This window comes from Homo sapiens, chromosome 8 (genome assembly GCF_000001405.40).
Source record: "Homo sapiens chromosome 8, GRCh38.p14 Primary Assembly".
NCBI lineage: Eukaryota > Metazoa > Chordata > Mammalia > Primates > Hominidae > Homo > Homo sapiens.
Genome location: NC_000008.11, coordinates 29,783,967 through 29,808,789, shown reverse-complemented (window position 1 = coordinate 29,808,789; position 24,823 = coordinate 29,783,967). Strand labels below are relative to the sequence as shown.

Sequence of the window (24,823 nt, the reverse complement as noted above, 5' to 3'; positions counted from 1 at the left end):
CCAATAAGCTCAGCTAATTTTTGTATTTTCGTAGAGGTGGAGTTTCACCATGCTGGCGAGGCTGGTCTCAAACTCCTGACCTCGGGTGATCTGCCCACCTCAGCCTCCTAAAATGCTGGCATTACAGACATGAGCCACCGTGCCTGGTGACTGGTGACAGATTTAATTACTTTACCAGCTCTGAACAACCTCTATCCATGGTAGATAACTGTAGTGGTTTTTGCTCTTTCCTGAATGACTATTAAAAAAAAATTTCTTAGTTTGATCAAATAATTTGCCTTGCTTCATCCATAATTCTGCTTCATCTCAATTGAGCTTATTTTATTAAAGGGCAGGAAGTCCTCTGAATTTCTATTTCTGGACAGGTTTCTGTGGGAGTCTTTTTAATGTTTTTCCTGCTGCCTTTTCTCCTTTATCTTTACAAGTTCCGGTTCTATAAAACCGGTCATTTTTACTGACCATTACTGCAGGCTGAATTTTTCCCTATAAACCCTAATTTTGTAATCTGGGAGCAATATACATTGCTAATGTGATTTTTGTTCCCTTCTCTCCTTCTGAGTCTGGAAGAGTAGCCTTTCTTTTGTAGATTTATGGTGAGGTCTTGTACTCAGCGCTCTCACAATGCAGATGAGTTTTCTGACTATAATGGACCATTTTACAGCCTTATGGTTTGCCTATTTCTCAATGAATTTAATATTTTCTTCAATTTGTGAGCTAAATGTTAACTCCTGGGTTTTTTTTATTGATCCAGTACTATTATAAAATGCATGTTTCTTTATGTCTAGAGCCTATGACTGCAATTACTGCGTGTGAAGATTATGTACAGATTCTAATATGCATATTAATCTCACTATGCTATGGAACTGGTCCTTGCAGAGTTGTGCCTCATGAAGGGACACTGTAACCTCAAATGCTTTCTAAATGGATGGCCCCAAAACAGCAATGTCTCCCCTACACATACCCTCCCCTACTGGTGGCTGTCTTTATGGTAGAAGGGGAAGACAGCAAACATCCTACAGTTGTAGATTTTGGAAGTGGAGCATGAAAAAAATAAAACTGACCCTTGTGAGATTCATTTGTTTACAGAACAGGATTTTGTGGTCCAAACCATGCCTCTGGATGCCCTGGGGGCGGCAGTAAATGGAAGCCTCTGGCTGGAGGGAGAAGCGTAGCTGCCCAGCTACTCACATATTCATATATTCTCTCTCGCTTGAGGCTGAATATATTTCTACCTAGCAAGGAAGCCGTGCTGACACACAGCCCCAGCACAGAATTCCACATTCCTTTGTGTTCAGGGAACAATGATTTAGGTTAGCTGGGATTAACCCACAGTTGAACCTCGGCGAGATGGGTTCCGAGTCTCTCAATGAATTCAGCAGTCACTGACAGCTTCGTGAATGGGATTCGCTGCCTGATGCATGAGCTGAGTTGTCACAGGCAGGGCGGGGAAGGCAGGCTGGAAAATCCCCATGCCTGGCTGCCTCCCGATGTGTCCCCCAAGATTGCGCTCTGGGGGTTTCTGTGAAGGGGAGCCCTCCTATTGCCAGCCTGCTCAGACCACACAGGCACGCACAGCCCTGCCTCACGGAAGCATCTGACAATTTTTAAAAAGTCCTTTCTGCAGAGAGCCCAGAGCCTGCATGTTTTAACCCCCAAGTGGTAGCAGGCTTGTTTTGATAGTTGGAGCCAGACATTTATATCTGTATAAAATAATACTGGACGATGAGGAATATGCATGAGATCATGAAAATAAGCAGTAAAGGCAGATTTTGATAGCCTCTCTCTAGAATTGTTAAGCCTTTCTTTTTTTTTCTTTTGAAAAGGGGATAGAAGAGCTGCACATCTAATATAATCAGTCCTTTTTGGAGAAATGTGTGAATGGGCTACTGTCAGTCCAAACAGGCGTCATTTAGTGTCCATCCATCTTATTTCTCTCACTAACATGTCAGTCTCCCTTGTCTTCCACTCACATCATTCAAGGTGAAAAACACTGAATAGGTTCTTGTTGTTCTTTGTATTTTTTTCATTGTTCTAGGGCTGTGCTGATGCCGACACATCAAGTCTATGATTTGGAGGAGAAAGGAGGTAAGGAGGAGAGAACCAACATGCATTGAGCACCTGTGATGTGCTAGGCTTCATACCCATCATCTTATTTAATCTGCCCACATTTAAGATGTGGTGATGTCATCCCCACTTCCTGACTGAAGACACCACAGTTGAGACAGCTCCAGAAAGGGTTCCCACGTCTTGCAGAGGTTAGAGACAGAGGTTAGAGTCTGCCTCAACACACCCCTGAAAACCCCATGTGGCCTAAAAAGCAAAGCATTTAAAGTAGTATTCATAGTGATCTATTTCATTTGTATATGCTGACTTACATATGTCAATTGCTGTATCTTAGACAATGACATTTTATTTCAGTAGTTTATAAGCCTCATCCTTCAAATACTGAAAAAGAAAAAAAGAAATGCTCAAACAAGCTTTGAAAGTGTATTCATGGTCTTTAGCTTCCTAGATCTTTCTGTGATTTCTAGCTCACTCCATTTCTTAATGTGGCAGGGGGCTTCCACAGTTGGGTGGAAACAGGGTCACCATGGGCCCTATTGATTTCAGGTCACACAAACGTGTCCCTACTTCCTCAGAGGATAGGCTTAAGAACAAAACACTTCCCTGGGTTTACCTAGATGGTGGCATTCAGGGAAGGGGAGAGGGGATGGCAGTAGAATGCCCAGGCTCTTTTGGGACAAAACTACCGTGCTAGATGGATGGATAAGGTGGCACATGTGCTCGTCTTCAGGTTCCCTCCCCAAACTTATGACTGTCTCAGATGCTTGGGCTCCATCTGCCTCTCTATCTGGTGCATGTGCCCATTCACTCGGGCTTACCCCTACCCACTCTCCAGCGCATAAGTAGATTATCTCTAGATCAAGTGACATCCTTGACTCTCAGCTGCCATCAGTTGATGCAATCGGCGACTAATTAGGCATCAACAGTCTGGTGAATGACAACAGTGGGTTAACATTTAGAATGGACCTTTCTTCTGTCCTGTTTTGGTCCTTAATTGCCTGTTTTGGTTCATCTTAGCAAGCACCAAGCTGAAGCTGGGCATGGTGGCTCAGGCCTGTAATCTCAGCACTTTGGGAGGCTGAGGCAGGTAGATCACCTGAGGTCAGGGGTTCAAGACCAGCCTGGCCAACATGGTGAAACCCCGTCTCTACTAAAATCCAAAAATTAGCCGGGCATGGTGGCACGTGCCTGTAATCCCAGCTACTTGGGAGGCTGAGGCAGGAGAATCGCTTGAACCTGGGAGGCGGAGGCTGCAGTGAGCTGATACCATGCCACTGCACTCCAGCCTGGGCAACAGACAGAGACTGTCTCAAAACAAACGAACAAACACCAATTAAAAAATAAAAAGCACCCAGCCCAGACGAAGCTGTAACACATCTAGCTTCATCCATACACACGTGTAAGTATTCTCAATGGAGTACAGTGGATGGGCACACCCATAGGACAGCTCTGGGTGCAGCTGAGTTTGACTGCCAGAGAAGTGTGGGGTAAATACTATTAAGATGAGCTTGATGCTGCTTGATGGAGCTGAGTGAGTGGTGCCATATGGCAAGGCTGTCATCACGAATAGCAGCAGCTGGGCTAGGAATAAAAAGGTGTCTCTGTGTGCAGCAGCACAGGGGAGGGGAATTCGAAAGACATCACAAAATCCTCTGGGGAAAAGAAACAGAAATGGAGTCAAAATGTGGCTGACCCTTTTCTTTCTCACCCTTGGCCCTGCTGGGAGCAGAAACAGAGTCCTTGAGGTCAAAACACAGCTGGCTTTGTCTTTCCCTTACGATTGTGGCCACACTGCTCTTCCAAAAACAGGTGTAGACTCCAACACCTGTGGTTTGCATGTCAGCTTTGGTGGGTGACATAGATTGGAGGGCAGGTTGCCATGAGGAGGTCCTCAGGCTGTAATATGGTCGATGAATCGGGAAGGTCTGAACACGTGGCTATGAAGGAAGGCAGGGGAGCAGAGGGGAGGCTGCAATCCAAGAGTTGAAGTGCTGGGTATCTCTGAGTTTCGAAGAACAGGGGCTTGAGGTGGGCTTATCTCTAAGGGAGAGGTCAAAGCTCAGAGAAAATCACACTGTGGGCTCTTCCATGCTCTCGGAATATTGCAACCTAGCTGGCATCTGGATAAAATAAGCCGCCTTCTGCAGGAGGAGTAGCTGAAGCAAAGCTGTCATAAAAAGCCACATGTAGCCAGGGCAAATGTGTGTAGAGGGAGGAGGTGGGGATTTTCCTGCCTGAGAGCTGGCTCCGGGCCCACCTGCATTGCCTTGGCAACGGTGATGGGGGAGGAATTTATAGGCTCATTCCTACGTGAGTACCTTAGGTCTTTTTAAATTCCTGCTGGCTTCTCTAGCCACCCACCGCTTCTGTGAATCACTGCATGGGGCTCTGGGAGATGCTCTGTCACAGTCTGAGGCTTGACACAGCTCAGGGGATGTGGAGAGGTTCCCAGGGACTCGGGGAGCAGCTTTTCAACATTTTGCTTTGGTCTCTGGAATGTCAGTTCAAGGGCCTAGATGGAAAAAGCAACTTTGAAGTGTGATTGCTCAAATCCGTTCATTCACCCAAAATGTGAAGGGCCTTCTAAACAGCTCAGTGATGTGTAAAGCAATCAGAAGGTCGGAGTTTCCGCTCTGAACTGTTGATCGGTGCCACCTTGGGTGAGCTGCAGGTCAGATTCCTATCCCTAGTCTGGTCTCCTCTTTAAACATGAGCACTGGACGACCTGGCCACAGTGGGCCTATATACTCCAGCATTTTGTGCACCCTGATTGGACTTCTCTTTGATTAACCACAGCTGGCTTAAGAGCACAGCACCTGTCCTGATTACCGTCGCCAAGAACTTACGAAACCAAGCCAAGCTAGTTGCCTTGTCAGCACCAGCCAACAGGAGTTGAGAGTCAGGGCTCAAAAACCGAATTTGGTGCCAAAAATCCAAATACACCGAACCAAGTGCTCACCTCCCAAATTGCATTAAAAAAAAAAACCCAACACCCCCAGTGCTTGTCCTAAATGCAGGTGATGCTTGTGTCATCCCCACTAGAATGAACCCGGGGACAGGCAAAGCTGGGTCTGAATGTTCACTGCTGCATCTCAGGGCCTAGCATGGAGTGTGGCAGACAGGAGGTGCTCTCTGAGGATCTGGGCTCTAGAAAGCTCCGTCATGAGGTTGTCATATGGAGAGGCATGGAGTCTGTTGTCACTGGCCCATTTTAAAGATGGTAACATTCCATGGTTAATAAGAATAGCTCATGTTTATTGACCTCTAAATTGTGTATAGCATCATCATAGGTGCATCATTTTAAAAAAGATTTTTCTTCTATCAAAGTTACACATGCACATAATTTAAAAAATCAGATTGTAAAAACTCCAGTCCCTACTCTCCTCAAATTTTCTGTTCCCCAGAGGCAGCCATTTTTAACTCTTTTAGTGCATTTTTTTGGCATTAACCTTCATATCTTTATATAATGTGCTTGTCTTGCTATTAGGATTTCTTGCTCTGTAAAGTGAGGATCTAGTTCCCTTTTACTTCTTGCCACCAAGACACAGACATACACACACACAACACACTCCTCACAAACTCCACAAACACACCCCATGAACACACCCCCCAGCACACACCATGAAAACACACACAGCCCCCCCCCCCCACACCCCAAACACACTACACACACACCAAACATACATACACACCCACACACTTTCTGGACCTCCCATTATTGCAATATGGTTATATTGTAATTTTGGATACAATAGTCATTGTTTGCATTTTACAGATATGTAGATGTTCTATACAAATGACATGTAGTAAACTATGATTACTTTCTTTTGCTGCATAATTTCTCTGTTTCTCTTGAGTTAATTATTACCTTGGGTGTTTCATCTGTGCTTGTGTGTTTATGCTTCCTACTCTCTGATTTATCACTAAGTTCACTTCAGACTCTCCTCCAGTTGCAAATCTCTCAATATTTTTCAAGCAATTAGGTATTCCGGTAAATTTCACCATTAAAAAGTATTCAATCTCCTTTCTTGGTTTCATTTTGTAAGGTGGGGAATAAGAACAATTTTAGCTTTTATCTAAGCATCCCACGAGGACAAATCAATTTGTAAGGTCCCCAGACCTGTAATTCTGAATGAGAGTTGGTCTACGTTCACATATTCTGTTTAATGTTGAAATTTTTTTTGTCCACCTGCCTCTAACACCTCCTAGAACTTTCTACTGTAAGACCTAGCTGCAAAAATACTTATGTCTTACAAGCTATAAGTATAAAAGCATATGTATCCTGCCCACTTCATCCTCCTATCAGCCCACATATACTGTGTCTTTTCAGTCTAAATAAGTCGGAGCTAAATTGAAAATTCAAATCTGGCTGGGCATAGTGGCTCATGCCTGGAATCCTAGCATTTTGGGAGGCCAAGGTGGGAAGATCACTTGAGCCCAGGAGGTTGAGACCAGACTGGGGAACATAATAAGGACCCTGTCTCAATAAAAATGAAATAATTTTTTAAAAGAAAATAAAATCTTTAATATACATATCACATTTGAGGTACTTGCTACCACTGTCAAGGACTGACATTCTGGCATGGGGTTTGATTCTAGAATGTAAAATGGCTTGTGCTCTACCTTAAATGCTATTTGCTATCTAAAATGTATAAGATCACCCTTGGAACCATAGGATTTAGTACCTTTCCCACAATCCTCTCAAAGGTAAGAATTAAATGCACTTTGGATTAGGACATCAGAAGGCAGGGCAGCATTCTGGGTGAGACTTAACCCAGTGGCATCCTAAAGGCTAGAACCCTGGCTGGAGAGAATACAAGAAGGAATACAAGACAACTGTATTCCTTCAAATACAAGTTTTGACAGCCTCCAGTCAAAGCCTGTCTGTCTTTGACATTCAGGTCCTTCTCTTTATTCTCAAACCACCCATGCCGATAGGGGGCCAGATATGTACTTCTTACTTTCAAATTAGCCAGATCATTGCCTCACTAAGACAAGCAATTTAGATTTCAAGACGGGATTCTGGCTTTATTTTCACCCTACCCCAATTTTTCCCTCCCTATTTCCTTTCCTTTTCTTCTTCCTTTCTCTTTCCCCATTTCTGCCTCCTCTGCCTCCTCTGCCTCCTCTGCCTCCTCTGCCTCCCCTGCCTCCCTTCCTCCCTCCCTCCCTCCTTTTTTCTTCTTCTTCTTCTTCCTCTCCTCTACCTCCTCCTCCTCCTCCTCCTCTTCCTTTCTCTCTTTCACCTACAAGGGCATGGATGTGAGAGTAAGATCATACTCTTGGGCTAAAATCTGTGTTTGGTTGGCTGTATGACCTTGAGAAGTCTACACAGGCTTGCTAAGCATTTCTTCATCTATAATATGGGGCTAATAAGACAAACTGTCAACTATGAGAATTCAACAAAGTTATGCATGATAAGTACCGGGTACTGGGCTTGCTATATACTAATTGCAGAATAAATGGCTTCATAATAATATCTTAAAACATTCACCTCCAAATTCAATGCTGCTTGAAAGCAATATCCCCATTCTAGGAAATTTTGGCAGTGTTTACCATATGACTCCATCTTTCAGCTCTTTGGAATATTTGAATAGAACAAAATGTTGGTTTGGTTCAGAGAATATATTTTGGTCCATTTTATTCTGGCTTAATTATTTTAATAAATCTATAGATGTTGCTTGGGTTCATATTATGAAAATGTAAAATTGGGGCTGGGTTTGAGGCTTTTTCTTCTGGTGTTTTAGATATTAAAATCTTGGATTCATAGGATGTCATGGGACTCCTACCCTTCTACTGAAGCCCAGAAAAAAACATCCAGGGACTTGTGAAATAACAGACCTCTCACTGCTGGAACAAGATACTGCCCAGGCTAAGTGGCATAGAAAGGATTTGATGAGTCTGTTACCTAATCGCACAATGTCATAGTTATCTGGAACAAACAATTCATGGGCCCATTGCCAAAGAGCCTCTTAATGTGGCTTCTCTTTGGCAGAATTGCATCTAGTGCTCACCTGTCAGTGGGAATGGCTGCGGTAGCTGACAGGAAAGGTGATGGAAAGGAAGCGTTTCGGGACTTTTATCTACAGCAGCACATCCCAGGTTAGACTCTCAGCTGCTGTGCGTCATGAGAGGTCCTGAGTCTGGGTGCTCTGCGGGCTTTTATCTCAATGAAGCACTTGAGGCTGTTCAGGGTGCTTGACGAGAGAGAGGTGAATGGTTGTCAAGGCAACCTTCTTTGGATTCATTCACAGAATGGAAGTTGGAGTATGTAAGAAAGCCCCAGGAATAACGGTCGCATTGGAACTACCCACATCTAGCCAGTTCAGGAAATCTGGGCATTTAAAAGGAGAAAATAATATGAGAATATACACAACCAGGCTTACCTGGTATCTGCATTTTTCTTCTGTGGGTTTGATTTGAAGAAATTGTTTGGCTCAGAGAATAATGTCCCACTTCACTCCATGATGTCACAAATGGCTGCTGTTGTTATGACAGTTTGCAGAAAACACTTTGTGTAAGTCTCTTTTCTGAGTAAAATCCTAAAGATGTGATAGCTGACTTTCCCCGGAATATTTTAATGGCCTCTGCTGGGTGCAGTACCCAGTGTGTTCTGTGCCTGCATTTTGGTTACTTATTCATCCAGCCATTTATTCGACAAATACTGGCTGAGTATCTACTATGTGCCAAACTTTGTGCCCACATGAAGCTTATGTTGAACAAATATTTGTTGTTGAATATGGTGCTGGTATCATGTGCTGTGAACACAGGCAGGAAGGATGCCTGGGTACTTGGGGAGCCCTAGAGAATGCATGTCAGGGAGGCAGCTTCCCAGGCACCTTCATTCCGATAGCCCAACAGAAATGAAGCCCTGTTATTCTTCCATGAAACACTCTCACGCCACCCATTCTCTCAATCCAGGGCTTCCGTCCTGGGCAGAGTTGTTATCAATTTATGGGCAGATTGTTGAAAGAAGTTCCGAATGGTTCTTCCTGACTCCCATCACTAACCCATCTAATTCATCCTCTGCTGTCCTGACCAACACATTTTCCTTAGACACATTTTCCCTGAGAACCATCTTGATGGACCATCAAGGCTCATTATCTGTCTGACTCCAGTGAACATCTCTGGTTTTATTCCTTACTTCAGCTTCCATTTCTGATATGTTCATTTCTTCACTGTGCGTAGGATGGACCTCCCAGTTCTTTATCATGTAGTCCAGCCTGCTTGGGATGCCCTCTGTTCCCCTCCTGACCCCCAAATCACTGGCCCTGTGCCACTACCCCTACTCCCACCCATTGCTCAAGGCTCAGCTGAGCCTCACGTATATGGCCAAGATTGCTGGTTATTCTCCAATATTCATTCTGTCTTCTTCCACGGTGATAGAATTTTAGCTGGGAATATGATTGGCCAGAACAAAGACCACAAGTCCCAGTTTCTCTAGTAACAAAACAAGATCATTCATGAGCAAGTTTGTGCAACTTCTGGATCATATTCTTAAAGGGAGGGGCATCCTCTTTCCTTGCCGCTTTCTGGGATGGGAATGTGGACAGGGTGTGGACTCACTGAACTATGTGGATGCACATCTGTACACTAGGAAGGCAGAGAACCACAGGAAGGGATGGAGTCTCCAACAGCATGGAGCTGCCCTAGAAGGTCCACACTGTATCATCCCTAGATGCTTACTCTTAGACACATGGGACTAATCACTTCTGTTGTGTTTAAGCTTTTTAGAATTTGGGTTTCTGCTACAGCAGCAGAATTTCACGTCTCCTCCAGGAAGACTTCCTGGCTCTTCCCTTCTTGAAACTCTCTACCATGACCATAAAATCTGGTGTGTATTCATTTTCACTTTATTGCTTCCTTATTCGTCTTAAAATCTTTTCACTTTATTGCTTCCTAATTCATCTTCTTTTACCAGCTAGGCTTTAGGAGATGGACCGAAAATTATACCATGTAATTTATAAGTGCCAATAAATACACTTTGGTGATGATCTGACAGGAGGGGTAGCTCAGTCTGTAATGTGAGCAATGGGAAGCGACTGTAAATACAGATGAAGCTTTGCTTGCTTGCCCTCTGCTCAACTCCTGCTGTGTGGCCTGGTTCCTAATAGGTCATGGACCCATAACGCTCTATGGCCTGGGGGCTGGGGACCCCTCTTGTGGAGCACCCTACATAGCTACACAGATATATGCAGGGACGAAGAGTGGGTTTACAGAGAACACACACGTGTGCATGTTTATCTACCATTTATTAAGTATCTTAATCATATCTCCTCCACAGAGAAGCAAACATCCCCCTATTCAAGGTTAAAAGAAGCGTTTGTCTTTGAAGCCCCACTAGAGCAGTTATCTCTAGTGAACTAGGGTTTTTAATGGCCTTTCACAATAATTACAAATTTAATTAACCTCTCTGCTTTGATCAGTCACGGCTGTTTCTCATTACCTTCCCCAATGCCTGTTTCTGAGTCAAGAGCTATTCCTGGGCCTTCCCTTTCCAGCTATAAAGTACTGTTTAGGTTTAATTTAGTCTGGCACAGCTGTAAAGAAAGCAACTCTCCTGCTCAACAGCCTCCAATGACTCCCCGTTGACCACTGAATTAAGTACAAACTCCTTAGCCCGGCATTTGGGCCTTCCACAGTCTGGCCCCAGACCCCCTTCTAATCTCATCCCAACTCTTCCTGCACTTGCACTTTGTAGCTCGTGTTTCTCAGCAGGCCCTTGTCTTCCTGATTTGGGGTCTTACTTCTGCAGCTCCTTCTGCCCAGTCACTTGGCCACCCACATCCTACACCTGCCCCTTGTTGAACTCTCATCCTCCAGGAAGCCTTCCCTGCCAGCTCCCTCTCCAGTTGAATCCAGACCCCCACCCCCTGCCAATCACCTGGGATCATATTACTCCCTGTTCTGATTTTTCACAGAAATTCACACCTTCTCATAATCCTGTTCTGAATGACAGTTATTGTGCATTCATCTTGTTCTCTCTCATTAGACTGTAGATTTTAACAGAAGGAATATCTTACCCATCTTTGTGCTCATCAGCACTTAAAACATCACCTTAACAGCACTACCATAACCATTTCAGAGGTCCTATTTTGGTCCAAGCACTTTGCTAGACACTTTAAATAAACTGTTTTTCTTATCTTCGCCAGGCCAGATTAGGAAGTGGAACCTCAGACAGGTCAAGTGACTTTCCCAAGTTTGCAGCCAGGAAGCACCTACTGGGTTGTGTTGGGGGAAGGGCTGGGGACAGTGACATTGTGCTTGGCAAGCACAATTGCTTTCTGTTGCTACTACTGACCACACTTTTCAGAATGTGGGCCAACATCTCCAGGGAGAACAATGATAAGTTTGCTTCTGAACCTCTGGCAGGGTGTAAGCACTGATCTTCAGTAATAAACCATAGCCTGTGATGTTAGTATCAGGTCTTCTGCTTTGATGATGGTTTGCCAGGCAGTCCTCTATCACCCTGGAGTTGGAACTTTCTCAGCTACTAGAGTGTCCCAGAGTATTTGAGCTCTGTCCCTATAATTGGTCATTTCCCAGGTTCTCCAGCAGCTCATGAAGCTTCTTTAGCAGTTAATGCTGGAAGTTTGAGACCTCTCTCTGGAGCTCCCTTCAACCTCTGAGATGAGGTCTTCATCCTCTACTCTGGGTAGGAGAGAAGATGCTTACCATCCTGAGTGAGTCACACCTGGAAATGGCCAGGAACCAAAACTGCCTGGAGGCAAAGGAGATGTGAAAGGGATCCCAGCAGAGCAGAAGGCAGACTTCACACCTCTTCTTCTTCTTCCCTGATGCTTCCTGTGGGAGCAGCTGGGCATTCTCCAGATTCTGTTTCCTGAAGCTTACCATCCTGGTCCAGCATCCCATGGTCATGACCGCCTAAAACTTACCGGAAATGGGGAGGAAGAGGGCTGGGCTCAGCTCAGCGCTACTTGCTCAGGGAGTGTCCATGTGAAAGCTAGTGTGTGGGGGGAGCTAATGAAGGGAACTGTGGCACACACAGTCCAGGTGGGGTGCTCCAGTGGGCAGAGGAAGGTCAGGGATTGTGTTGGGGCATGGAGGTGTGGAAGCGGGGAATGATGCATCAAGCTTGCTTGACTGACAGTCACATTCGCTTGCTCCATACCACCTTCCTTTATTAGGTAAAAATGTGCTTTTTTGGCATGGAGGGAAACAGAAAAAATGAGATGGCTATTTGGGGGTGTCCTATGTTTCCCCACTCTTATGCCCCAGCTTTATCATTTACACTCCCCACCCACCCATTTATCTACTCCCCCCACCTCTGTTAACAGGAGTGGATCACAATGGGCTTTGGTGCTGCAAAGTGACCTCATGTAAGCCTCTGGCATCTCTGCATTTTTGTTCTCGTTTTTATAAAACTTCTATTTTAAATTCAGTGGTGCACGTGCAATGTATTGTATATTTCAAAATAGAAGAGAGGACTTGAAATGTTCCCACATAGAAGTGATAAATACTGAAGATGATGGACACGCAGATACCCTGACTTGATCATGACACATTCTATGCATAATTGATACATAATACTTTTACATATTGATGGGGTACATGTGATACTTTGTACCTCATAAATATGTAAAAGCATTATGTATCGATCAAAAAAGTAAAAAACATAAGAAATTTCTAAAAATACACCATGATTCATGTCATGATCCTTCTATTATTGACTGATAAGATTTTTTTCTAAATTTGTGTTATTATGAATAACATTGTAAGAAACTTTTTGATATGTAATTTCTTGCCTCCAACACTGATTTCTTCTTTGGGAAGGATTTCTAGAAGGGAAATTAGTGGACCGATGATGTAAAGGTATAAAGATGTAAAGGCATTTGATTGCTTTCCCAAGAGGATGAATCTCTACATATCTCCACCCACAGTCTGTGAGATTACCCATGCCAGACAAAGAGAATTACTGCCATCATGAGTATTATAATTCTTTAAAACATTTGCCAATTTGAAAGGAGATGGAATACCTCTCTGTAACATTAATTCCTGATTCTTTGATTACAAACAAGAGCACCTATATTTCTTTTTCTAACCATTGATTTTTTATGAAATGTCATTTGTGTATTGTTTTTATTTATTAAAGAAAAATGTAATATTTTATTAAATAATTTAGGAATTATTTATAAATTTTTATGTTGAGATTTTTAATTTGTTCCTTTATCCCTTTGTTCATTTATGAATAATCAACAGGTGCCTACCATGTGCCAGACACTGCTCTGACTAGACCCTGGGAATACTGCTGTGAATAAAATAAAGTCCCTGTCCTGTAGTGGGGTGGTGGGAAGAGAATGGATAAATGATGATTGGTGCTAAATAGAAAAGTAAATCAAAGAAGGGGCTACTGAGTACTGGGAAATGCAGTTTACAGTCAGATGGTTAGATAACTTCTCACTGAGATGACTTTCTTAAAGAAAGGGAAATCACAGGAAAATTAACAAATAAGCCATGCAGGAATTTGGAGGAAGTGTTCTATGCAGGAGAAACAGCAAGTGCAAAGTCCCAAGGCAGAAACACATCTGGCATGTTAGAGGAGGAAGAAGGAGGATGGTGTATTTGGAGCAGAGTAAGAAGGGAAAAAAGTAGTTGAAGATGAAGTCAGAGAGGTAAATGGAGCCAGAATATGAGGATTCTTTTGAATCACTCTGTAAACTTTGACTTTCTCCTCAGAATGAGCTGAAAGACATTGGAAGTGTATTAGTCAACTATTATTGCCTAATGCTGCATAACAAGCAATCCCAATTTTCAATGGTTTACAAGAACCAACTTTATTTTTCGCTTATGGTTCTGTGGGTCAATTGTGGAGGCTCTGCTTCAAGCTGAAGATTGGGTTCCTGATGGCTTCAACTGCCTCTGCATTCTGAGATGGAAGCTGCCAGAGCATGCTCTGCTAATGGCAGATAGCAGAAAGACAAGAGGGAAAGCCGCCAAACCAGCAAGCACGCTGAAAACCTCTGCTCACATCCGTTGGTCTAAGCAAGTCATTTGACCAAGCCCAATATCCATGGGGCAAAGATGTAATACAATCTTCCACAGAAGGTAGAGGAGTAGAGAGGTGAACTGATTTTTATGTTAAAAAATTACTTCTAGACCCACAAACCATCACTAGTCTAAACCATGTTTAGTCGATAGTCTTTTTCAGATGCAATATCCCACATTCTTAAATATTTTAAAAATTGTTAATGAGGTAGAAATAGCATAAGTCCTATCACAATTAATATCCTCTCCCACTACTCCCTATCTATAAAAGCAGAACCCTGGAAGCAGGAAGAGAGAATCATTGCAAGTACAAGTTTTCACCTAGCAGGAAGTGCTGTGCTGTGGAGATAAATAATGCTTTCCCACTAAAAACCACATTAAAAAATTAGGGATCCCAGCATCCCACTTGGATATTTATGCAGTAGGTTTGCTGATTTGCCCCTTCTGCTAATTTGGGGAGTAGAAAAATATAACAATTGGCATTATGTTTGGCCGAAAGTAACAAAATCTCAACTATAAAGGGCTTAAACAATAAAGTATCCATTCGTCTCAGGCAAAACATATCTAAATAGGCAGTCCAGAGTTCACAATGTCATCCATATCCCAGCCTCTTTCTCTCTTTGTACTCTGCTATCCTTGGCTTGTGGCTTTCATCCTCAGAGTCACAAGACGGACATTACATCCACATTCTAGGCAAGATGAATGGAGAAAGGGCAACAGGCTAAAGGGGGTCTACTGGTTCAGTCTGTGGCCTTTAAAAACATTCCCCAAATCCCTTCCCGATAACCCTTATTAAAGCAAGCGGGAAGGGGTTATGAGTAGCTCTTGGGTAGCCAATCCGAAGTGTTTTCAACAGAACAGAGGATAAGTGGAGAGAGATGATAGAACAGGGAGCCATGCATGAAAGAACCAGCACTCCTACTATTGGGCATGGCAAAGATTATCAAATCTCTAGGGATCGATTGGCACCAGAGCTAGTGATCTGGCTTGAAACTTCCTGTCTAGGGAAGGGCATAGGGCTGGTCTTGCTACCTGTGCCATAGTCAGGAATGATCCAATTTCATTTCCTTTTTTAAACCAATTTAATTTAAAAATATTTTAATGGACTTTAATTTTTAGAGAAGTTTTAGATCCATAGCAGAATTGAGCAGAAAATACAGAGTTCTGTTCTGTTATCCTGACCGCACACCTGCAGAGTCTCCTTCACTATTGACATTCTGCACCAGAGTGGGACATTTGTTACAATTGATGACCCTACATTGACATGTCATTCTCACCCAAAATCCATAGTTTACATTACAGCTCACTCTGGGTGTTACACTGACAAAGACTCCTGATCCTTGACCAAGCTGTTGTTATGCTCCTCTGAGTCCTCTTCTTGACTAGGCCTCGACCTGGGCCTCCGGCCTGTCCTTGCTGGGCTTGCATCACTCAGTAAGTATCTTGTGGCTGGGCGCGGTGGCTCACGCCTGTAATCCCAGCATTTTGGGAGGCCAAGGCAGGAGGATTGCCTGAGCTCAGGAGTTTGCAACCACCCTGGGCCACATGATGAAACCCCGTCTCTACTAAAATACGAAAAAATTAGCCAGGCATGGTGGTGCATACCTGTAATCCCACCTATCTGAAGGCTGAGGAAGGACAGTCGCTTGAACCCGGAAGGCAGAGGTTGCAGTGAGCTGAGATCACACCACTGCACTTCCACCTGGGTGACAGAGGGAGACTCTGTCTAAAAAAAATCTTGCTCGGTCAGTTTAGTGAGAAACGCTACATCTTTGAAATCTGATCACTCTGGATGTATGATCAATTTCTGCTTCCCCCACTCTTGATATCTGGTCACCCTGGCTTGCCTTTAGCAAGAACCCTAAGTTGGTTTAACAAGAATCTCTCTGCTCTTGATTTCTCCTCTTAGGAATTTTCCACCCACTGATTCCCTCATTCTATTCATGGGCTATGAGTCCTCAGCTGTCTTTGTTATATTGGAATTGAGCCTGAATTCTCTAGCCTGTTGTAGTAAGTTTCAACACCCATCGTAATAGTCCTGAATAAAATCTTCATTATTGTTTTAACAAGTGGCAGAATAATTTCTTCTTTAACAATATAATCTATGGGTTTGGACTATATAAAATGTCATATAGTCACCGTTATAGTATCATACAGGGTAGTTTCAACTGCCCTAAAATTCCTCTATGCTCTGCTTATTCATCCCTCCCTCCCCACTAACCTCTGGCAACCACTGACTATAATAAAGACATCCCAGATACTTGCAGATTTCCTGATCTCGGGTGTTCTATGGGAGTTATGGAGGCCTGTGACCACACTTTGTCGTAAGAAGCTCATGGGAGGGTGGAGTTTTCCTTGCCCAAGAGTGATGCTGGCAGTAGAGGGTAATGGTGCCCATGGGAGCTGTGATCTCAGGAAGATTGGGGGCTGCAGAGAAAATGGTGGGAGACCAGGATGGAGAGGACCAGAGTTTCCTGAGCTCTGATGTCATATAGCTGGGAAGCTCAGAGAGCTGGGGGACACTTGGGGTGGGTGAGTGTCTCAGAGCAATATCTAGTAAGAGCTGACCCAGTTTATGAAAAGTTAATCAATTGCACCAAAACCATTTTTTAAGCAATCCTATCTTTCCTTACCATCTTTCAAATTTATTAAATTCTTACATACATCAAGACTTACTTCTAACTTGTCTATTCTCTTCAGTTGAACTGTCAGTTTCAGTGCCAGTCCCATGCTGTTTTACATATTATAACTTTATAATATATTTTAATGCCTGATGAGGCTAATGCTAGTATCTCCTCATTACTTTTATTTTGCCAAAATATTTGTCAGTATACTTACCCATTTATTTTTTTCAGATGAACTTCAGATCTCCTTTGTTACATTTCAAAAGAATATCTCTTGATATCTTAGTTATGATTGGGGAAGAACTGGCATCTTCCTTTGTACAAACCCCTGGACTATATGAATGAAATGAAGATGAGTAATCTGCCAGGAAGATTTGGAGATCAAATCCTAGACTTCTAACTCTTGGAAGTCTATGTGACAAGGAAGGTAAACAAATGGAAAACTTTAGTAGGAATATTTTTCTCCTCACTCTTTTTCTTACATGTCACTGATCTCTAAGACTTCATGACTTGCCTTTTCTTGATGCTTCCCGCACAGCTGTTTTCTTTTTCCTCACCACCAGCCCCCGAGCACGCACAGTGGAGGAATGAGAGAAGCTTACATAAAAATAACTCTTGTTAATTAAAAAATATCACTGAGTTCCATTATGCAAGTGAGGGATGCCACACTTAATTTGTCATGGTTTGCAGCACTAGGTCCCCCAGACTGATACCTTTCTTTGAAAGAAGAAGCTTGTCATCAAGCTGGTGGGTCTCTCAGGTCTGTTGTGGTTGTGATTCCAGATGTCAAGTCTCATCCCATTGTTGGTGGAAGTCTGGGATGCGGCCCTGCCTTCCAGCTGCTCTGGCTGTTGTTCTGTTATGGAAAATGGAAGCTGTGCTCCTGTGTTGGAAGATGGGAATTATCACTGGCGCATCTGTCAGCCTCCAGCTCTTTGATGGGGATTTTGCACCTTTCGCTTTTGCATTGTTTCACATTATGCATTTTGTAGGTCACTCCCCTGCAAGGCAGAGGGAAAAGGCCATTATTGGAGTACTTTTTTTTTTTTTTTTTAAGATTTACACTTTTTGCTTTTATTACAAAGTATTGTGAAATTTTCTGCTCCAACAGTCGTGAGAGTAGGAAATTTAAGTCTATCACTTCAGTAATATTTTGGCTCTTAGTTTAGGGTTCATCCTTTCCCTAGGGACTGCACTGAGATAAGTTAGATTGAGTGAAAGGTAAAGACTAACACTTTGAACTGATGTCATTTCCATTGTGAAGAACTAACTGCTAAGAGCAAGTTAACAGGCAGCAGTTTTGAGAGACAGAAAAGTCATCCAGACAGGAAGATTGGGAACTTCCTCAATGAGTTTGTCTTCCTCATTTATTACACTCAGTTTGTCAACAATCTTGTTAATTATACGTTTTAAAGGCAATTTTTTCACAAGCTCTAGGACACATTCAAAATATTACATACAAGTGTATGTTATAAATAATCCTCAAGTAAACATACATGTAACTACCACCATCTGGACATTTCACATCAAGTTATAAAACGCTTTCATCATCTGGACGACTTCTTGCTTCCCCTCCCGCCCCCCTCTCTCGGCTGTTTCCCCTCCTCCAGCCCCTAAGGACTGGTGTCTTTTATTTCCCCAGACTTACTCAAAGCCTTGACTTGGTTTTATGCTTTGCTCTTTATTGCACAGATCTGAACAAGGACGGCAGCTGGGGTGACATTTCATTTATCCAGAGATGCAAGGGTGCTGAAGCTTGACATCCTTATTTGCCATCATGAAAAGCATTTGAAAGGGGGAAAGAAGAAAATTGATTGCAGAAAACCTTAGATTGATGAGCATGAGTAAGGGCTGCAGGGGGCACTGGAAAATTCAGGTGCTGTCTCTTTTCTATGAATTCTGTCTTTCCTCCCTGATCTCGAAGACTCTTCAGTAAATAGAACACATCCACTTTACATACTAAGTGACAGAAAAACAATTTTCCATGACATGAGGACCTCCAGTCTATATTTTATTTCTTGTGGTAAAATATACATAACATTTACCATTTTAAACACTTTTAAGTGTACAATTCAATGACATTGAGTACATTTACATTTTTGTGCAAACGTCATAGTCATCTATCTCCAGAACTTTTAATCATCCCAAACAGAAACTCTGCACCTATTGAACATTAACCCCCATTCCTTCCTCCCTCCAGCCCCTGGTAATCTCTATTCGACCCTCTGTCTATATGGATTCGCCCGTTCTAGGTACCTCATGTAAGTAGATTCATATAATATTTGTCCTTTTATATCTGGCTTATTTCACTTAGCATAATGTTTGTGGTTCATTCATGTAGTAGCATGTGTCAGAACTTTATTCCTTTTTAGGCTTGAATAATATTCCATTCTATGTATATACCATATTCTGTTTATTCAGTCATCTGTTGGTGGACATCTGAGTTGTTTCCACATTTTGGCTATGGTGAATAATACTGCTGTGAATATTGGCGTCTGTTTGATTCTCTCTCTTCATTTCTTTTGGATATATACCTACGAGTGAAACTGCTGGATCATATAGTAATTCTGTTTAATTTTTTGGGGAACTACCAAAGTGTTTTCACAGTGACTGCACCATTTTACCTTCCCATCAGAAATGTACAAAGCTTCCAATGTCTTTACATCCTTACCAATATGTTTTTTTTTTAAATTTTTTGTTTTTTGGTAATGGCAATCCTATAAGTGTGAAATCGTATCTTGTTGTGGTTTTGATTTGCATGTCCCTAGTGGCTAGTGACATTGCACATCTTTTGGTACTTATTAGCCATTTGTATATCTTCTTTGGAGGAATATCTATTCAGAGCCTTTGACCAGGTTTGAACTGGGCTGCTCATTTGTTTTAATTATAGGACCTCTTTATATATTCTAGATATTAATTCCTTACCAGATAAAGTTATTTGCAAATACTTTCTCCCATTCTTTGGGTTGCCTTTTCACTCTCTTGCAAGGGTCCTTTAGGGCACAAAGTCTTCAATTTCAGTGAAGTTCAGTTTATCTATTTTTTCTTTTGTTGCTTGTGCTTTTGGTGTCATATCCAAGAAATCATTGACAAATGCAATGTTATAAAGCTCTTGCCCTATGTTTTCTTCTAGGAGCTTTATAGTTTTATGTCTTTATTCCATTTGAATTGATTTGTACATATAGTATAAGGTAAGGTAAGATAAGGTAAGGACCCAGTTGGTTCTTTAGCAGGTAGATATCCAGTTTTCTCAGCACCATTCATTGAAGATGCTGTCCATTCCCCATTGATGGTCTTGGCACCATTACTGAAAATCAATCAACATTATACGTAAGGATTTTCATTCTACTGACCACAAGCTGGTTCAGAGAAATTGGTCTCAGATAGTGCTAAAAAAAAGTTATTACTGAACCACAGCAACAAGTACATTTTCTTGGGTAAATACTATTGTTTTTCAGTCTACATAATACTTTGAATTAGAATATCTTGAACATGCTTTTATCCATTTGTTATTGATGTCTACTTGTTTATGATGCTATCATTTTTCTAAATATGACAGTCTCAATCGTTTCTCGTCCTGCAAGGTGAACAGTGATTTCTTCACTAAATAGTCCTGAAATTCTCAGAGGATCACTTAGAGGGGGATACGGTTTTTGGAATGCTGTGACCTTGGTCTGTGGAGAAGGAGGCGCCTAGGAGTTGGCACCAAATGACTGCTGGAAGTGTAATTTACATGATATTGGCATTATTGTGACTCTATATGCCTTTTTTCCTTGAGACATCTTTCGGGCATTTGAAAGCCCATGTTTACTGCATCCTAATGTTTTCAGATTGTTTTCTTAAATGCTGTCCTATATGGTTCTCATGACCTCTCTGTGAAGTAACCCAGTTAGATATATATTTTATTAGTTAAAGACCTGAGACTCACAGAAGTTGAGTGGCCATGTCCAAAGCTCATAGCCAGGAAGTGGAGGACCTGGGACACGCGTCCTGGCTCCTGACCCTGAGGCTCTCCTTTTACAGTGCACACCAGAATACAGCACCTGCTATTCTGACTTACATCATTTCTAGAAATGGGTTATTGGCAGATGAGACACCGTCTTCTCCCTCCTCATCATGGAAGGCTGAGTATTAGGCAGAATGATAAAGGTGAACTCTACAGAGACTAAGTGCAATTTTTCTTGGTACATTCCCATTGTAAGTAGCAGATTAAGAACTACCAGAAAAAAATATAGCCATGGAGAAGGAAAAGCTTTGCTCTGAAAGACCTTCTCCCCACAGTGAGAATTCTGGTTTCACATGGAAATGGCAGGCAGTAGGATGGCCATTCTCATAAATCATGTCATGTGGTGAAGGCAGAGGCCTCCTTATTTAGAACAATGTTTTAATTTCCCAGATGAACACACCAAGGACCAGGGAAGGAAGTGATTTCCTCATGGTCAAGCTGCTGAATAAAGACAGATCAGGCTCTGGCACCCTACCCTCCTACTTTCAGCTAACAAACCTTGCTAGGGAGCATTCCTATTTCACAGCTACCTTCTCTAGCATCCTCATTTTTGCACATGTGCTGTCATTTTTTTAGATATCAGGATGAATCCTCAATCATCTTGAATAAAAAATACGAACATAGACTTGTTCACCAAATTGTCCTGAAATTCTTTTCATAAAAGGAAACAATTTGAATCTTGGATGGAGTAAACTGAGTGCAAAAAGAAGGAAAAACTGCTTCAGACAACAGGTCACTGTATTAGGCCATTCCTGCATCGCTGTAAAGAAACACCTGAGACTGGGTCATTTATTAAAAAAGAAGAGGTTTAATTGGCTCACGGTTCTGCAGGCTTTATTGGAAGTATGATGCCAGCATCTGTTCAGCTTCTAGTGAAGCCTCAGGGAGTTTTTAATCATGGTGGAAGGCAAAACAGGAATAGGCACATCACATAACAAAAGCAAGAACCAGCGAGAGAGAGTTGGGAGGGAGGTATCCCACATCTTTAAACAACCAGTTCTCGCAATAACCCACTAACAGAAAGACAGCACCAAGCCATGAGGGATCTGTGCCTATGATCCGAACACCTCCCACCAAGCCCCACCTCCAGCACTGGGGATTATGATTCAACATGAGATTTGGCAGGGACAAATATCTAAACTATATCAGTCATTTAATATGCTATATATATATATGAATATTAAAACAGGAAGAAATCTAAGAAAACATAATTTATTGATTGCCTAATTGATACAATTACAATGAATGATAATTCATTGGACACATTTTTATTGCATATTAGTATGTGCTAGGCACAGTGATTAGTACTATGAATATAATGGTGAGCAAAAATGAGCATGGTCCCATCTTCATGAAGCATATAGTCTGGTGGCAAAGATAGGCATCAAACAGATAAACATATAAATACATGTAACATTAATGCTTTAATATGTTTTATGATGAAGAAGTATGTGGTGCTGTGAGGGAATTTAACAGAAGAGAGATCCCTGGATTTGTAATTCAGTCTTTCCTGTAGTTGGATGGAACTTGGAATAGCCAAGGAGTTGAAAGAAGACCAGTGCAGTTGGAATTCAGAGAACAGTAGGAGCATGACGTGAATAGAGGATGTAGGATGGGTAGGAGCTGCAGGGCGCAGGATATCTTATGGAGGATAAGGATTTGATCTTTCTCCAAAGAGCACTGAGAAACCATTAAATGACTTGGATGGGGCACAGAGAAGATGTGGTGGGAGCAGTTATCATATTAATCCTTTGAAAATATATATATTTTTTGACTGCAGGATAATAGGCTGGAAGATGGCAAGAACAGGTGCAGGGAGATCTGTTAAGTGCTTGTTGAAGTAGCCTACGCAGGACACAATGGTGGTTTGACTTTGTGATATGGGAATAGGGAAGAAGAGAAATGGATATATTTGAGAGGTATTTAGAGGTTAAGTGGACTGGATTCGGTAATGCATAAAATCTGGAGAGGGAGGGAGAGGAAAGCACCAAGAATGACTCCAGGTCTCTTAAATTGCACTACTGAATTGACGGCAGTGCCATTCATTGGGATAGACATTGGAAGGGGAGTGGCTCTAATGCAGGGAGAGAATGCTTGGGCTTAGACTGCAAGGTAAATTTGAGGCATCTGTAAGTAGAAATGGAGATACAGTACAGGACCGGAACTCAGAAGATGGTGTTAGCTGGAGATATAAATTTGGGATTTATGAATGACTGGCTATTGAAGCCATAAACATGGACAAGATGGACAGAAAGTACAGAGAGAGAAGATAAGAGGGCCCAGTGTGGAGTCTTTGGTATTATAAGTCTTGATGGCCTAAACTGAGAGGATGAGTAGGTGAAGGACACAGAGAAGGCGCAGCCAGAGAGTAGAAACCATGAGGTGTGATGTGATGGTGACCAAGGGAAAAAGATTGTGTTGAAGAAGAAAGCAGTGGTCTTCTAAGTCAAATCCTGCTTAGAGATTCTGTAAGGTGAGGACTAGAAAAGATACATTGGACTTAATGGTGTGAAGATCATTGAAGAGGCTTAGCTACATCAGTGGATAGCTGTGAGGGGAAGTCTATTGGGAGTGAGATGAAGAATGAACAGGAGGAAAGCAAATGGAACTAAAGTGGTACTTATGGTCTTCCTTTGTGCATCTGCTCATGAAATGTGCCCCAGGCTGGGTGCAAGAACAGGTCCCAGAAAAACCTGTGATTTGCAGTATGACCACTGCTAAATCACCTAACCCTTCCCTGCCTCAGTTTCCTTAATCAATTCTATGGACTATAACCCGGGCTCATGAGGGATAGAAGAGCTTTGGAAATCCAAGCTTAAATTATTCCTTAAATTCACTAAGCGCCAAATGGCAATTATTTTAAAAACTATTTTCCTGTTAAAGATGTGTCCTCCCTCACACCTCAAGAAGATTTTTGGTTTATTTTTGTTTGTATTAGAAGGGATATTCCCCTTTTCCAAATCTGGTCAACAATAGAAAGTCCTTATCTATGTTCTCTTGTGATCTTGGTTTAGGAGATAATATCAAATCTCCCATGTATGTATTGGCTAGTAACGTATTTATTTACCCTTAAGACCTATATTGTTTTTATAATCCTAAGGCTGATGTGAAAGAGGAGAAAAACCTGTTTTTTGTTTGTTTTCTAAATGATCACTAGGTACACTAGAGAGGATTATCCTTCAACAAATATGCCACAGAGTTGAAGGAGGTGATCAGGAATCCCTTAGAGTCTTAGAAGCTCTCACAATGTGACTGATTCCATATGTTTAATGGTAAATATGATAAGCCCTTTAGATTTCTCTGTTAACTTAATTTCCCAGACTGCCACAATGGTGAGTAATTGAATATTAACAGATGAAAATGGAAGCTGTGGACACATGTCAGTTGTCTCATACCAATGGCTCCCTAACGTGAAAAGCCCTGCTGATACCCAAAACCTTACTATGGCCTTTCTTGAAGGAGCAGGTCTGTTGGAAAATAAAGTTATCGTTGGCTAGATAATTGCTATTTGTTTTTTGTTCTCTTGAAGATATTTATAGGGCCCAAATCAGTGGTATGGTAGACTGAGAGTCCTGTGAGAAGTACAGTCAGGGGATATGAGTGAAGATTTGTTGTCTTAGAGCAATGGCTGGAGATTGGGCCAGGCCTGGACCCTTAAAATCTGCTCTATCCTCCGTATTCTTTTTTTGCTGTTTATGTGTTTGGGAGTAAAGGACTCCAGGGTCTTAAGATATAACAGAGTGATAAGATGGAATCAGCCTGGATCCCTGAGTCAACACTTGGTGGTGAGCCTCCAGGAGGAACTTTCCCATTAGACTGCTGCCTGAGCAAGAAATAGACCTTTGTGGTGTCAAGCCATGAAAATTTTTGAGTTGTTTGACATAGCAGTTGGTTTACCCTGAGTAACACATCACAGATCTATAATGCAATGTGAGCTGTGCTATAAGCGAAGCTTATATAAAGTGTTATAAGAAGAGACAAAGGCCTGAGAAGGATAGAAAGATGAGATGATATTTAAGCTTGATAAACAGAGAAGAGTTTGCCAAATGAGACAGGTGTGGAGACAATTTAAACAAGTGGTCTAGTGTGGGCAAAGCCCATGGTGCATGGAAATATATTCTGA

General features: G+C 42.1%; 1 long non-coding RNA gene across 2 annotated transcripts in view; it reads right to left on the bottom strand.

Moving 5' to 3' along the window:
* Window positions 1-10,297: 10,297 nt before the first annotated feature.
* The window catches only part of LINC02099 (long intergenic non-protein coding RNA 2099), a 50,184-nt gene continuing 35,658 nt past the window's right edge, over window positions 10,298-24,823 (bottom strand). Inside the window, exons 2-4 of one of the 2 annotated variants that reach the window (NR_125815.1) lie at window positions 18,343-18,458; window positions 16,909-17,695; window positions 10,298-11,955 (exon numbers count right to left, since the gene is read on the bottom strand). This is a non-coding gene — a long non-coding RNA (long intergenic non-protein coding RNA 2099). The remainder of the gene's footprint in view (window positions 11,956-16,908; window positions 17,696-18,342; window positions 18,459-24,823) is intronic. The other variant, NR_125814.1, reaches the window with a different exon arrangement.